At 45.1% G+C, this 15,582-nt stretch overlaps 1 pseudogene, besides 5 other annotated features; it reads right to left on the bottom strand.

Moving 5' to 3' along the window:
* NDUFS5P3 (NADH:ubiquinone oxidoreductase subunit S5 pseudogene 3) lies at positions 4,531-5,007 on the bottom strand (annotated as a pseudogene).
* Positions 10,128-10,668: an enhancer, noted in NCBI's record as "OCT4-H3K27ac-H3K4me1 hESC enhancer chr1:53169092-53169632 (GRCh37/hg19 assembly coordinates)". NCBI's record gives its function as "activates a minimal SCP1, AML or CMV promoter by ChIP-STARR-seq in naive H9 embryonic stem cells {active_cell/tissue: H9 hESC(naive)}" and the evidence as "EXISTENCE:reporter gene assay evidence [ECO:0000049][PMID:30033119]".
* Positions 10,663-10,962: an enhancer, noted in NCBI's record as "active region_1037". NCBI's record gives its function as "activates an Ori minimal core promoter by ATAC-STARR-seq in GM12878 lymphoblastoid cells {active_cell/tissue: GM12878}" and the evidence as "EXISTENCE:reporter gene assay evidence [ECO:0000049][PMID:35858748]".
* Positions 10,663-11,210: a biological region, named in NCBI's record as "OCT4-H3K27ac-H3K4me1 hESC enhancer GRCh37_chr1:53168550-53169091".
* Positions 10,669-11,210: an enhancer, noted in NCBI's record as "OCT4-H3K27ac-H3K4me1 hESC enhancer chr1:53168550-53169091 (GRCh37/hg19 assembly coordinates)". NCBI's record gives its function as "activates a minimal SCP1, AML or CMV promoter by ChIP-STARR-seq in naive H9 embryonic stem cells {active_cell/tissue: H9 hESC(naive)}" and the evidence as "EXISTENCE:reporter gene assay evidence [ECO:0000049][PMID:30033119]".
* Positions 15,512-15,571: an enhancer, noted in NCBI's record as "active region_1036". NCBI's record gives its function as "activates an Ori minimal core promoter by ATAC-STARR-seq in GM12878 lymphoblastoid cells {active_cell/tissue: GM12878}" and the evidence as "EXISTENCE:reporter gene assay evidence [ECO:0000049][PMID:35858748]".

Raw genomic sequence — 15,582 nt, 5'->3', positions numbered from 1 at the left:
TTTTTTTTTTTGAGACAGAGTCTCGCTGTAGCCCAGGCTAGAGAGCAGTGGCGTGATCTGTGCTCACTACAACCTCTGCCTCCCAGGTTCAAGCGATTCTCCTGTCTCAGCCTCCCAAGTAGCTGGGACCACAGGCACGCACCACGACACCTGGTTAATTTTTGTATTTTTAGCAGAGATGGGGTTTCTCTGTGTTGGCCAGGCTGGCTCTAGACATTTTCAACCCCAGGACAATACCCTCATAGTAATACGGTATTCAGGATAAGTGAAAGGTATAGCTTTTCTTTTAAAAGCAAAGGAAAAGCTATTGTGAAAGTGGAGAAGTGAAAGGTAAATTCTCAGGCAGATTAATGTTAAGGAAGAGTATACACATCAGAGTTGTGAGAAGTGATTACCATAAAATTATTCATGCTTGTGTACCCCATCGAAAATCTTCATGACCCTCCAGGAGGATGGGTTCCCCTGTTTGAAGCCTGAGCTTACAGCATTGCTGTTCTTTCCTCATGGGTCACTCTGGTGCAAGTCTTTATAATTCACATGCCATAAAAAACTCAGTATTTTAAAGTGTACAATTCAGTGGCCCCTGATAACCACTAACCTACACTCTATTTCTGTGGATTTGCCTATTCTGGAGATATATATATATATATTCAAGACAGGAGCTCGCTCTGTCACCTAGGCTGGAGTGCACTGGCATGACCAGGGCTCACTGCAGCCTTGACCTCCTGGGCTCAGGTGATCCTCCCACTTCAGTGTCTTGAGTAGCTGGGTCTACTAGTTGTGCAGCACTATGCCTAGCTAGTTTTTTGTGGTTTTTGCAGAGACAAGATTTCATCATGTTTCCCAGGCTGGTCTTGAACTCCTGGGCTCAAGGGATCCTCCTGCCTGGGCCTCCCAAAGTGCTGAGATTAGCGCAGGGCCGATTCTGGATATTTAATATTAATGAAATTATACAATATGTTGCCTTTTGTATCTGCCTTCTTTCATTTAGCATTATATTTTAAAGATTCATTCATGTTGCAATATGTATCAGAACTTCACTCCATTTTATAGCTAATATTCCATTGTATGGGGGTATCATATTTTGTTTATTCATTCATTAGATGATGGACATTTGGGGTGTTTCCAATTTTGGCTACTATGGATAATGCTGCTATGAACATTGGTGGACAAGTTTTTATGTGAATATTTACCTTCATTTCTCTTGGATATACACCTAGGAGTGGAATTGCTGGGTCAGGTGGTAACTCTAACTTACTTATTTTTTTTTTTGAGACGGAGTCTCACTTTGTCACCCAGGCTGGAGTGCAGTGGCACGATCTCAGCTCACTACAACCCCTGCCTCCCGGGTTCAAGTGACTCTACTGCCTTAGCCTCTTGAGTAGCTGGGATTACAGGTGTGTACCACCACACCCGGGTAATTTTTGTAATTTTAGTAGAGACAGGGTTTCACCATGTTGGTCAGGCTGGTCTCAAACTCCTGACCTTGTGATATGCCCACCTTGGCCTCCCAAAATACTGGGATTACAGGTGTGAGCCACCATGCCCTGCCAACTCTAACTTTTTAGTGAACTGCTGAACTGTTTTTCAAGACAGCTGTACCATTTTGCATTCCCACTAGCGGTGTCTAAGAGTTCCAATTTCTCCACATCCTCATCAACACTTGTTATTGTTCATCTTTTTTGTTACAGTAATCCCAGTGGGTGCAAAGTAGTATCTCATTTTGGTTTTAATTTGCATTTTCCTAATGAGTAATGATGTTGAGCATCTTTCAATGTGCTTTAAAGCTCTCTCAAGGCTCAAACCTTCAAATGATTCTCCTGCCTCAGCCTCCCGAGTAGCTGGGACTACAGGCACGTGCCACCACGCTCAGTTAATTTTTGTATTTTTAGTAGAGATGGGGTTTCACCATATTGGCCAGGATGGTCTCGATATCTTGACCTCATGATCCTCCTGCCTCAGCCTCCCAAAGTGCTAGGATTACAGGCATGAGCCACCACGCCCAGCCTCAGGAATTTTCAATGGCTCTACAACTCCTATAGAATAAGGGCCCTTTTTTTTTTTTTTTTTGAGGCAATTTCCCTCTTGTCATCCAGGCTGGAGTGCAGTGGCACAATCTCGGCTCACTGCAACCTCCGCCTCCCAGGTTCAAGCGATTCTCCTGCCTCAGCCTCCAGAGTAGCTGGGATTACAGGCACCTGCCATTGCGCCTGGCTAATTTTATTATTTGTAGTAGAGATGGGGTTTCACCATCTTGGCTAAAAATTAGCACCTGGCTAATTTTTTATATTTTAGTAGAGATGGGGTTTCATTGTGTTGCTCAGGCTGATCTTGAACTCCTGAGCTCAGGCTGTCCACCCACCTTGGCCTCCCAAAGCGCTAGGATTACACGTGTGAGCCACTGTGCCTGGCCAAGGGCCACACTCTTAATCTGACAATTGAGGCACTTTTCCATCTGGCCTGTCTCTATGCTTTGAGCATCAACACTTGCACTCCATGTCTTCTGGCTCTGCTCTAGCTATACTGAATTACTCGTAGCTCTTGGAATATATAGTGCTACTTTAAGCCTTTGTGTATTTGCTCATGGCTTTCTTTCCACCAGGAAACCCTTTCTTGCTTTCTTCAAATGTGCCTTCCACTTGCATTTACTACTAGATTGAGACATCACTTGCACTCCATGTCTTCTGGCTCTGCTCTAGCTATACTGAATTACTCGTAGCTCTTGGAATATATAGTGCTACTTTAAGCCTTTGTGTATTTGCTCATGGCTTTCTTTCCACCAGGAAACCCTTTCTTGCTTTCTTCAAATGTGCCTTCCACTTGCATTTACTACTAGATTGAGGCATCTCCTCCTCACAGCCTTTCCTGATCACCCTTCCATAATTAGGTTAATTGTCTTTCATGAGCTTCCCTCTGAAGAGTCTACTCTGTTGCGATTGTGCCTTTCGTTTGCTTCCCAAATAGGCTGTGAGCTCCTCTGGAGCATTGACTGGATTTGATTTACCTCTTTCTTTTTTTTTCTTTTTTTTTTTTGAGATGGAGTCTTGCTCTGTCACCCAGGTTGGAGTGCAGTGGTGCGATCTCCGCTCACTGTAAGCTCCACCTCCCAGGTTCACACCATTCTCCTGCCTCAGCCTCCTGAGTAGCTGGGATTACAGGTGCCCGCTACCATGCCCGGCTAGATTTATCTCTCTCTTTAGGGCCCAGAACATGGCCTGACTGGAAGGCATTAATTTCATGGTATCCTGTTGTCCCTCAAATGCCCTCTGGCTCAAGTGCTAAGAACCTTTTCATTTCCTCAAGAGAAGGCAAAGCCAGCTTACCTTTAGGCATCTTAACCCAGACCTCAGACAGAAAACCTTCCAGTTGCAAGAGTATGTAATAGTTAAGACATTTTAAAAAGGAGCAATAAGGTAATATTTTACTCCTTAATATTAATCCATTTTATTTCATCTCATCAACTATGGGCACTGGATTACCTTTCTTATTGTCAATATTTGTTATGCCTTATTATGGGCAGACACCTTCACTTTTATGTAATTTTCTTATTGGAGGGGTGACATGGAATACAGTACTTGTTAGGAGCATGGACTCTACAGCAAGCCATTCTGCCTGGGTTTCACTCCCAGCTCCACATTTACTAGCCATGTGATCTTAGAGAATTTATGTGACACATCTGTGTGTCTGTTTCTTTTCTTTTCTTTTTTTTTTAGATGGAGTCTCACTCCGTCTCCCAGGCTGTAGTGCAGTGGCGCGATCTCGGCTCATTGCAACCTCCACCTCCCAGGTTCAAGCAATTCTCCTGCCTCAGCCTCCAGAGTAGCTGGGATTACAGGCGCCTGCCATTGCAGGCTAATTTTATTATTTGTAGTAGAGATGGGGTTTCACCATCTTGGCCAGGCTGGTCTTGAACTCCTGACCTCATGATCCACCTGCCTCGGCCTCCCAGAGTGCTGGGATTACAGGCATGAGCCACCACACCCAGCCGTGTCTGTTTCTTTACCTATAAAATTGGCGTGATAATCTTACTTAACTCATAGCATCTAGCAGATTAACTGAGTTACTATATATTTATACTATTACATATAGAAGGCTCTTAAAATAGGACCTGGCAAGGCCAGCCACAGTGGCTTAGTTATATAATTCCAGAACTTGGGAGGCCAAGGAGGGTGGATTACTTGAGGCCAGGAGTTCAAGACCAGCCTGGCCAACAGGGCCAAACCCCATCTCTACTAAAAATACAAAAATTAGCCAGGCGTTGTGGTGCACACTTGTAGTCCCAGCTACCCAGGAGGCTGAGGCAGGAGAATTGCTTGCGCCCCCGAGGCAGAGGTTGCAGTGAGCAGAGATCGTGCCACTGCACTCCAACCTGGGCGACAGAGCAAGACTCCATCTCAAAAAATAAAAAAAAAAAAAGAAAGAAAAAAATAGGACTTGGCAAGATATAACTGTTATATAAGCATTGGCTATTATTATAAAATCCTCCTGCAAATCCTGCAAGCTAGACATTATTTTTTTGGGGGGTGGGGAATGGAGCAATCCTTTATTTTTACACACTTTGACAAGGAGGTTTTCTGTAAACAACCTTTCCAGTGGAGAACAGAGAACAGGAAAATCAGCCTCCAGACATCAGCAGCTGCTCTGTTCAGGGCCAAGGCTCTGCATTGTCCACATGGTGAGGTGGAGGGGTGTACTTCCCTTCCTTTATCAGCTTATCCCGCTGCTTCCTAATGGTACTCAGACGTCTCATCGTTTTCTGCTAAAGTATACACTCTACAAAATCATCATATTCTATCTTGCACTCCTTCTCTGCCTGGATACTAACGATTCCATGTGCACATTCTATCCATTCTTTTTGAAAAGCCTGGCATCGAGCAGGAATCTTGTAGGGCTGTTCAGCACTTTGGATTGTCCACCATCAATCTATGTTAAGGCTGAACCTTTTCAGCACATCCAAGAAAGGCATGGCGATCCAATGCTTATGCCCTTGTCTCTTTTCTGGCCCCCACCCCCCCACTTTTTTTTTTTTTTTCTGAGACAGGGTTGAGTCTCACTCTGTTACCCAGGCTAGAGTGCAGTGGCATGATCTTGGCTCACCGCAACCTCTGCCTCCTGGGTTCAAGTGATTCTCCTGCCTCAGCCTCCCGAGTAGCTGGGACTACAGGTGTGTGCCACCATGCCTGGCTAATTTTTGTATTTTTAGTAGAGACGGGGTTTGGCCATGTTGGCCAGGCTGGTCTCAAACTCCTGAACTCAGGTGATCCGCCCACCTCGGCCTCCCAAAGTGCTGGGATTACAGGCATGAGCCACCACACCCGGCCCAGGGGACTCTTCTATAAGAGGGTGCTGTGTCCATCTCCTACAGATTATGCATCTACCAGGAACAATGTATGTGTGTTTTGGAATGGTGATAAAATTATACTTCCCTAGTCATTCTCACCTGTCATCTACTATTCACTGTTCTAGCCTTTTCCTAGGAGGTCAGATGCTTGTAAATAATTTATTCTCCAACAAAAAGAGCCTTTCCTAAACTAGGAATTCCTTGGCAGTGTGGGAGTAAATTCCCTAACTGATGATAACTCTTTTACTGCACATTCTTTTCACTGGGCATGTGCTCAATAAATACCTCTCCTTTGTGTCATGCTGTGTGCTGGACACTGAGGACACAGAAATAGATAAAACCCAGGCCCTGCCCTCAAGGTACTCAAGTCTAGTAGGAAGGGAAGGAAGACAACAGAAAAAGAACATGGTAAGTACTCTTATAAAAAGAAGCATGTTTGTGTGTGGTGGCTCATGCCTGTAGTTTCAGTTACTCAGGAAGCCGAGGCGGGAGGATAGACTGAGTCCAGGAGTTTGAGGCTGCAGTGCACTATGGTCATGCCTGTAAAATAGCCACTGCACTCTAGCCTGGGCAACGTAGTGAAACCCTGTCTCAAAAAAGAAAAAAAAAAAAAAGGAAGCAGAGCACTTGCTAAAGCACAGAGGCAACCAGCCTGGTGGTGGGGGCAGTCAGTGGTCAGAGCAGGCTTCCTGAAACAGGCACTACTTGACCTGGGTTGTTGTTGTTGTTGTTGTTGGTTTTTTTTTTTTTTTTGAGACGGAGTTTCGCTCTTGTTGCCCAGGCTGGAGTGCAATGGCACAATCTCAGCTCACCACAACCTCCGCCTTCTGGGTTCAAGCGATTGTCCTGCCTCAGCCTCCCAAGTAGCTGGGATTATGGGCATGTGCCACCATGCCCTGCTAATTTTGTATTTTTAGTAGAGACAAGGTTTCTCCATGTTGGTCAGGCTGGTCTCGAACTCCCAACCTCAGGTGACCTGCCCGCTTCGGCCTCCCAAAGTGCTGGGATTACAGGCGTGCGCCACCGTGCCTGGCCTTGACCTGGGTTTTGAAGGAAAAATAATTACCTTAATTAACGGAGAGGGAAGAGCATTCTAGGCATAGGGAATCACATGTGTGAAGGCACTGGAACGTGAAAGCAGGTGATGTTTATAGGGTCAACAAATAATTTGGGATGAGGTTCAAAGAGTGTGTATGGGAGGGAAGAGAACAAGCTGGAAAGGCAGGCTGGGGCGGATAGCAAGGTTTGTGGCCAAAGGTTAGGGGCGTAGACTTTAATGCCATGTGACATTTAGTTCCAGTTCTCTACTGGCACAACTGCTTTTTTCTGACAGTCAGTATTTGGTTACATTTAGAAGTCCAGATTAGTTTTTTCACTCAACAACATGGGCTGAGCACCTCACTGTGTCAGTTTTTATGTGCAGGCAGGAGGGCTCAGGAATAGACTTTTGGGGTCACAGCCTGAAATCTTGTGAGCTTTTTTTAGAAGGCAGTAAATCTCACCCCTGACTTGAGATGATTTGTCCTAAAACCTGATCCCTTCCTTGTCCTTGGTGTTGCAACCCTTCTTCCTCATTTGGATTTCCATGAGCATGCTGCAGTGAGCTGGGTCCACACACACATTATGGGAATGGCTATAATCAGAAGCCGAGCCAGCCAGCTTAGGTGGTGAACACATGCCCGTTGTGCTCTGGCACGTGAGTCTCATGAATGAGATGGAGCAGGCAGAGAATATCAGGTCCCTACTCTTTGGGATTTCATAGTCTTAAAAGCAGAAAGTTGGCCGGGCGCGGGGGCTCATGCCTGTAATCCCAGCACTTTGGGAGGCTGATGCAGGTGGATCGTGAGGTCAGGAGTTCAAGACCAGCCTGGCCAAGATGGTGAAACCCCCCTCTCTACTAAAAAAAAATACAAAAAAATTAGCCGGGCGTGGTGGTGGGTGTCTGTAATCCCAGCTACTCAGGAGGCTGAGGTAGAGAACTGCTTGAACCCAGGAGGTGGAGGTTGCAGTGAGCCGAGATCGCGCCACTGCACTCCAGGCTGGGGGCCAGAATGAGACTCCATCTCAAAAAAAAAGAAAAAAAAAATTAGATCTGGAGGCATTGTTATAAGTTATTAACCACATAGCATAAACGGAGCACTTACAAAGTGCTTCACTCTGTGTTGGGACCTGGAAGGCAAATAAAGAAATCATATTTGGTTCCTATCCTTAAGGTGCTCCCAGTCTGGTAAAACAGGCGATGACCACAGTGCTTCAGGAAGTGGAGGAGCCCTCAGCTGGCTAACCACAGCCCACTGTCAACCAGTAGGGGTTAGGAAGGCATCCTAGACAAGGACTGGTGGTCGGGCAACATAGTTTGAACTGACACTGGAGAGACGTGGAAAGAGCAGCCCACACAGACAAAACAGCCTGAGGAGTTCAGAGAAGAGGAGTGGGTCAGAGGGATTGGTTTGTCTAGTATAGGTGGGGAAGTAGCAAGTGGAGTGGTTGGCGGGGGCCAGATGGGAGGGCCTGGAATGCTGAGCTAAGGATGCGGGCATTGTGGAGCCTTTGGTTTCCAAATGGGGGTGACACAGCTCTTTTAGAAAGACAAGTCCCTTTCATTCCTGGGCTCAGTGCGCTCACCTGTAAAATGAGGGAGTTGAAGATTATTTTCAAAATCATTCCAGTGCATGTATCCTGTGATTTACAGCATTGCTTCTTAAAGTTTATTGTGTATCTGTGTCACCTGGGGATCTCAGTAAAATGCATATTCTGGCCAGGCAGTGTGGCTCACACCTGTAGTCCCAGCTATTTGGGAAGCTGAGGTGGGAGGATTGCTTGAGCCCAGCCTGGGCAACATAATGAGACCCCAGTCTCTAAAAATAATAATAATTTTAGGCCGGGTGCGGTGGCTTATACCTGTAATCCCAGCAGTTTGGGAGCCCAAGGCAAGTGGATCACCTGAGATCAGGAGTTTGAGACCACCCTGGCCAACATGGTGAAACTCTGTCCCTACTAAAAATACAAAAATTAGCTGGGCGTGGTGGCACATGCCTGTAATCCCAGCTACTCAGGAGGCTGAGGCAGGAGAATCACTTGAACCTGGGAGGCGGAGGTTGCAGTAAGCCAAGATTGTGCCATTGCACTCCAGCCTAGGTGAGAAGAGCAAAACTCCATCTCAAGAAAATAATAATAACTTTTAAAATGCATATTTTGGTTCAGTAGGTGTGGTGGGGGTCCCAAGGTTCTCCATGTCTACTAGGATCTCAAATGATATGGATGCTGCTGTTCCTCAAGCCACACTTTGAGTAGCAAGGATTTAGTTCTTGGGTACTCAAAGTGTAGTCTGAGGTCCAGCCTTTGTAAGTCATACAATGTTCTATAAGTTATCTCATTAGGGCCAGGCGCGGAGGCTCACACCTGCAATCTCAGCACTTTGGGAGGCCAAGGCGGGTGGATCACCTGAGGTCAGGAGTTTGAGACCAGCCTGACCAACATAGAGAAACCCTGTCTCTACTAAAAATACAAAATTAGCCGGTGTGGTGGCGCATGCCTGTAATCCCAGCTACTCAGGAGGCTGAGGCAGGAGAATCACTTGAACCCAGGAGGCAGAGGTTGCAGTGTGTCAAGATCGCGCCATTGCACTCCAGCCTGGGCAACAAGAGCAAAACTCCGCCCCCCCCCCCCCCCCGAAAAAAAGTTATCTCATTAGAAATAGTGTGCTACCTAATTTTTACAGTGTTTTAAGGTTTGCAAAGAGATATACAAACCTTATTTCCTTCACTGCTTTCAGCAGTTCTTCTTGAGAGGTAATTTTTTTTTTTTCTGAGACAGGGTCTCACTCTGTCATCCCACCTGGAGTGCAGTGGCAAAATCATGGCTCACTGAAGTCTCAAATTCCTGGGCACAATCAGTCCTTCCGCCTCAGCCTCCCAAGTAGCTAAGACTACAAGCACATGCTGCCACACCTGGCTAATGTTTTTATTTTTTGTAGAGACGGGGTCTCTTTATGTTACCCAGGCTGGTCTTAAACTCCTAGGCTCAAGGGATCCTCTCACCTTGTCCTCCCAAAGTGCTGAAATTACAGGCATGAGCCACAGCACCTGGCCAAGACAACATTTTCATGGTTATGTAAAACACCCTTTAAACTTCGGTATTGAGGTTGGTTTGTCTTTTCCCAGCATCAAGGTGGGGTAGAGATTGGGAGTCCCATTTTACAGATGAGAAGACTGAGGATATAAAAAGAGAATAAAAGAGAATGGATTTAGCCAAAGCTGAACAAACACTATGGAAGTGGCAGAACAGTAATTAGTATTGAAACCTCTATTCCAGTGCTTATTTCCAGCAAATGTCTTTTTTTATTTTTATTTTTTATTTTTTGAGATGGAGTCTCACTCTGTCGCCCAGGCTGGAGTGCAGTGGCACGATCTTGGCTCACTGCAACCTCTGCCTCCCGGTTTCAAGTGATTCTCTGCCTCAGCCTCCCAAGTAGCTGGGATTACAGGCACATGCCACCACGCCCAGCAAATTTTTTTGTATTTTTAGTAGAGACGGGGTTTCACCATCTTGGCCAGGCTGATCTTTAACTCCTGACCTCATGATCCACCTGCCTCGGCCTCCCAAAGTGCTGGGATTACAGGCATGAGCCATTATGCCCGGCCTTTTTAAAATTTAATTTAATTTTATTCTTTGTCTTTTTTGAGATGGAGTTTCATTCTTGTTGCCCAGGCTGGAGTACAATGGCACGATCTCAACTCACTGCAACCTCTGCCTCCCCAGTTCAAGTGATTCTCCTGCCTCAGCCTCTCACGTAGCTGGGATTACATGCACCCGCCACCATGCCCAGCTAATTTTTGTATTTTTGGTAGAGACAGGGTTTCACCATGTTGGCCAGGCTGGTCTCGAACTCCTGACCTCAGGTGATCTATCCACCTCAGCTTCCCAAAGTGCTGGGATTATAGGTGTGAGCTACCACACCGGCCTCCTGGCCCTTTTTTTTGAGAGAGAATCTCACTCTGTCACCCAGGCTGGAGTGCAGTGGTGTGATCTCTTCTTACTGCAACCTCTGCCTCTTGGGGTCAAGCAATTCTCCTGCCTCAGCCTCGCAAGTAGCTGGGACTACAGGTGCCTGCCCAGAGGGAAGAGTATGACGCTGTCACTAACTTGCTGCGTATCCTGGGACAAGCCCCTTTCCTCTCCGGACCTTGGTCCTTTTCCCTGTAAAGCAGGTGCCTGTCCAGCTTAAAGCACAGCCCGGGAGCCTCAGAGACAGGCAGGAAGTCAAGGTTGCAATAATTCGGGTTTCCGAAAGCTTTGCGCTTGCCCTAGGCCCGACAGGTCACGTGGGGACTACGTGATGTGCAATCGCCGCTGTTGAAACAAGAGCATGTGCAGGGCTGGCAGCTGTCACGGCCTTTCTATATCTTGGGGGGATGGGGAGTGATGAGGTGAGGAAGGGCTGCAGGCTCTACGGGCACGGGCTTGAGGGGGTTGACTGGCCAAAGCAGGAAGGGCAGGGCGTCTCCACGGCTAACCCACAAAATGCTGAGAGTCCCGAGGGGATCTGCAGAGGACGGCGAGCTGGGCAGCCCCCGAGCAAGCCACCTGGAACCTCCCTCAGCTGCACCAGCCACTCAGAAAGATCGGGTCCGTTTAGACACGAGCACCAATCTCAGGCCTCCAAAGTGACCTCACAGCAAACGTGATTGGTCCGGTCTCTCTCACGGGGCGGCTCCTTTACCAACGTGTAACCCTTTGGGAGAGGTTTAGCGGGCTGTGTGACCTGGTGGAAATCACTTTACTTATCTGGACCTCCTTTATAAAAAGGAGGTATTAAGACCTATCCCGAGGCCTGGAGCGGTGGCTCACGCCTGTAATCCCAACGCGTTGGGAGGCCGAGAATGGATAATCTTTCTAACAAATGGTGCTAGAGTAATTATAAACCCACATGCAATAAAGTGAACCTCAACTGTTATCTCATACCTCATACAAAAATTAATCTGAAATGGATCATAGGCTTTCTAAATATAAGATTTAAACCATAAAATTTCTACAAGAAAATATAGGATAAAATCTTAGTGACTTTGGGTTTGGCAAAGACTTCTTGAATACGAAAGAAAAAGCACAAACTATTAACAAGAGGAAAAAAATCAATAAACTAGACACACCATTAAAATGAAAAACTTTTGGTTTTGAAAGACACTGTTATAAAAACAAAAAAGGCAGGCCAAACTGGGAGAAAATATATGCAAAACTTCTGATAACGGACTTGAATATATAAATAACTCTTAGAATGCAATAATAAAAAACAATCCAATAAAAAGGGGGCGAAAGATTTTAACAAACATGTCATCAAAGATACACAGATGGCAGATAAGCACATGAAAAGATGCCAACATTATTGGTCACTCAAAAAAATACAAACTAAACCTATGATAAGATACTGTTATATTCACTATAATGGCTAAAATTTTAAAAGACTGACCACACATCAAATTATGGTGAGGATGTAGGGCAACTAGAACTGTCAAACACTGCTGGTAAGAATGTAATGGTAGAATCACTTTAGAAAACAGTTTGGGTGTTTCTTAAAGTTAGATATATACCTACCATATGATCTAGCCATTCCACTCCTAGGTATGAACCCCAAAAATGGAAATGAATGCCCATACAAAGACACGTACACAAATATTCACAGCAGCTTTATTTGTAAGCCAAAAACTGGAAACCCAAATGGATAAACAAATTGTGATATATCTACATCATGAAATGTCATTCACTAAGAAAAAGAATGAACTATTAATACGTGTGGTAACATGGATGAATCTCAAAATAATTATGCTGAATCGAAGAAACTATACAAAAAGAAACAGTACTTACTGTATCATTCTATTTAGATAATATCCTACAAAATGCAACCCATCTTCAGTGACAGAAAGCAGATTAATGGTTGCTGGGGAGGGAATGAAGTACAAAGTCACATGAGGAAATTTTGAGGTGATGAATATGCTCATTATCTTGATTGTGATAATGGTTTACAGGTGTATACATATGTAGAAACTCATAATTGTTACTTTAAAGTTATGTGCAGTTTCCTGTATGTCAATTAGACCTTCATTTAATGTTTCTTATAGCTTTAAGAAAAACCTGGGTCAAAAGAGCAAGAGTCAGTGATATTCTAAGTTCCATTAATGAAAACCAAATTATTTGGAATGATAATCCCTCTTCTTAATTCAGTCAACAATACTTGGGCACCTAATATTGCTGGGCACAATCAAGACACTGTTATTATAACAAGAATGAGCTAAGACCACATGGACGATGTCAAATTGAAGCAGAGAACTTAAGAAGGCAAGCCAAAAAAAAAAAAAAAATACAGGGGAAAAGCACTCTAGGGCAGAGGCAACAGTTAGTTCAAACGGATCACGAGGTCAGGAGTTCGAGACCAGCCTGGCCGATATGGTGAAACCCCATCTCTACTAAAAATACAAAAATTAGGCGGGCATTGTGGTGGGCGCCTGTAATCCCAGCTATTCAGGAGGCTGAGGCAGGAGAATTGCTTGAAACCGTAAGGCGGAGGTTGCGGTGAGCCAAAATCACGCCACTGCACTCTAGCCTGGATGAAAGAGCAAAACAAAAAAAAGTGACCTCTTACTTGGTTGAGCCTCTCATCACCAACTAACTCTCTTGTGCCCTCTACCGCTCAGGTGATCTCATTTCAATGCAGTTCAACTCAGAAAATAAAGGGAAACATTCCCAGATTTTAGTAATCGACATCACCCTGCTCTATTCTATCATCAAGCCCTATTCTATTCTTGGCCCTGTGACCAGCATACAGGACACAGAGGTCACAGTCTGGTGGGGAACACAGACTTTCATGCCATTATTGGCATGACAAGAAACATTCCTGGAACAGGAATGACTTTGAGCCAGGCGCTCTGCCAAGCACATTGCATACATGAACTTGTAGTCCTTCTGACAGCCATTACAAATGGATCTGCATTTACAGAAGAGGATTCAGACTCACAAACATGATTGGTTTAAGGTTACAATTTAATAAACATGGAACATGGATTCTGAACTAAGATCTGTCCCCACTCCAAAGCCAGTTCTTTCTTTCCTACTACACTATACCAGAATAAACCAAGTGGTGTGGAACACCAAAATGGGAGCATCTAAATCTAATTTGAATGTGTGTAATTGTTGTGTCTGGGAAGACTTTACATAGGAGAGTATTTCCGATTTGTGTCAAAAAGGGTGGTCCAGGCATCAAGAGCAGAGGTAAACAGGGACACAAACTTGGGATCTATTCAGAGAACAGAAGGTTGGTGGGATGTGGGGGAAGAGAGGCAGAAAATAAGGCTAGAATCAGATTGCACAGGGTCTTGAAGGCCATCCTAAAGAAGATGACCTCAAACCAAAGTTCAAGGATTCCCATCCTGGGCCATGTGTACTGAGGAGTCCCCTAAGGTGATCAGGGTATAAGAAACCACAGGTAAATGTGGTATATTGCCTGGAATGTCAATTTTACTCAAAGGCTTGGGGGAGAAAAGGCAATCTTCTGTTATCCTATGAAAGATGTATTATGGGGAAATGAATGTAAAATCCTATGAATTTAAAAAATAAAACTGGGATTTCAGACATTATTGGCTGCCTTCCAATAAATAAGTGGTTGGAAATAGTCCATTCTTTGCTGCCATTGGGGATAGCTTAATAATGGAGCCATTTGGAAAGCATTGTTATAGGCGATGGGAAGCCATGGATTTAGCTCCATTGAGAATTCAAAAGTAGGGCTGGATGGAATTCAAAGATGAATGGGAAGTCAGCCGGGTGTGGTGGCTCACGCCTGTAATCCCAGCACTTTGGGAGGCCGAGGCCAGCGGACCACCTGAGGTCAGGAGTTCAAGACCAGCCTGGCCAATATAGTGAAACCCTGTCTCTACTAAAAATACAAAAAAAATTAGCCGGGCGTGGTGGTGGGCACCTGTAAGCCCAGCTACTCGGGAGGCTGAGGCAAGAGAATCGCTTGAACCTGGGAGGCGGAGGTTGCAGTAAGCTGAGACCGCGCTATTGCACTTCAGCCTGGGCAACAAGAACGAAACTCCGTCTCAAAAAAAAAAAAAAAAAAGACGAATAGGAAGTGGCTGTCTTAGGAGAACTTTCCATCTAAGCTTTATGGAACTGATGATTCTTAGCAGGAACAGGAGCAGGAAAACAAAGCAAAATGTAGGTAAATTTCCTCTCCTCCTCCCCATCTCCTTGACATGTTCCTTTTCTACCTCATTCATTCTTTTTCGCTCTTGTCGCCCAGGCTGGAATGCAATGGCACAATTTCGGCTCACTGCAACCTCCACCTCCCAGGTTAAAGCAATTCTCCTGCCTGAGCCTCCCAAAGAGCTAGGATTACAGGTGTGCTCCCTGTAATTTTGTATTTTTAGTAGAGACCCCTGCTAATTTTGTATTGTTAGTAGAGACAGAGTTTCACCAGGTTGGCCAGGCTGGTCTCGAACTCTTGACCTCAGGTGATCCACCCACCTCGGCCTCCCAAAGTGCTGGGATTACAGGCGTGAACCACCGCGCCCGGCCTCATTCATTCTTTTATTTTTTTAAAAAAAATTATTATTGCATACCAACTCCCTCACTTACTGTGTGACCTTGGACAAACTACTTAATTTCTCTGTACTTTAGTTTTCTTATCTGTAGAATGGGGATAATAATAATACCTACCCACAGTGTCACTGTGAGTGTTTTTACAGTGACATGATATATAATGAGAATTAAATGAGTTAATTCATATAAAGCATTTAGAGCCTGGAACAAAGTTCAGCACTGTTTGAGTACTAGGTGTTATAACAGTGACGTTGCTACACCCTTCACTGCTACTGTGTGCCAGTCAACATCTCCCATAGCCATTCATTGCTTAGGTAATTCATGTTGGTGGCCAAGACAGGTCTGGGAAGAAGACAGATGAATCAGACTGCTCACTGCACTTTGTCCAGCTACACCTGGCACATATAGAAGCTCCTCTAAATGCTTGCTGAATGGATAAGCGAATGTCTTCCTATTGAACTCCAAGTTCTTTGAAGGCAGGGACCATATTCCTAGCTGTCATATCCCTAGAACAATGCACTGGTGAGGCACACAGTAGGCGCTTAGGGATTATACATAGATAAATGACTGCAGGTGGAAAATCACTAAGGCTACAAAGCGAGCATAGGTAAGGTGCTGCAGAGAGACAGCCCCCAGTTTCAGGAAGGCGG

Source organism: Homo sapiens, chromosome 1, assembly GCF_000001405.40.
Source record: "Homo sapiens chromosome 1, GRCh38.p14 Primary Assembly".
NCBI lineage: Eukaryota > Metazoa > Chordata > Mammalia > Primates > Hominidae > Homo > Homo sapiens.
Note: the sequence above shows the minus strand (reverse complement) of the source record. Positions and strands in the feature narration are given on the sequence as shown.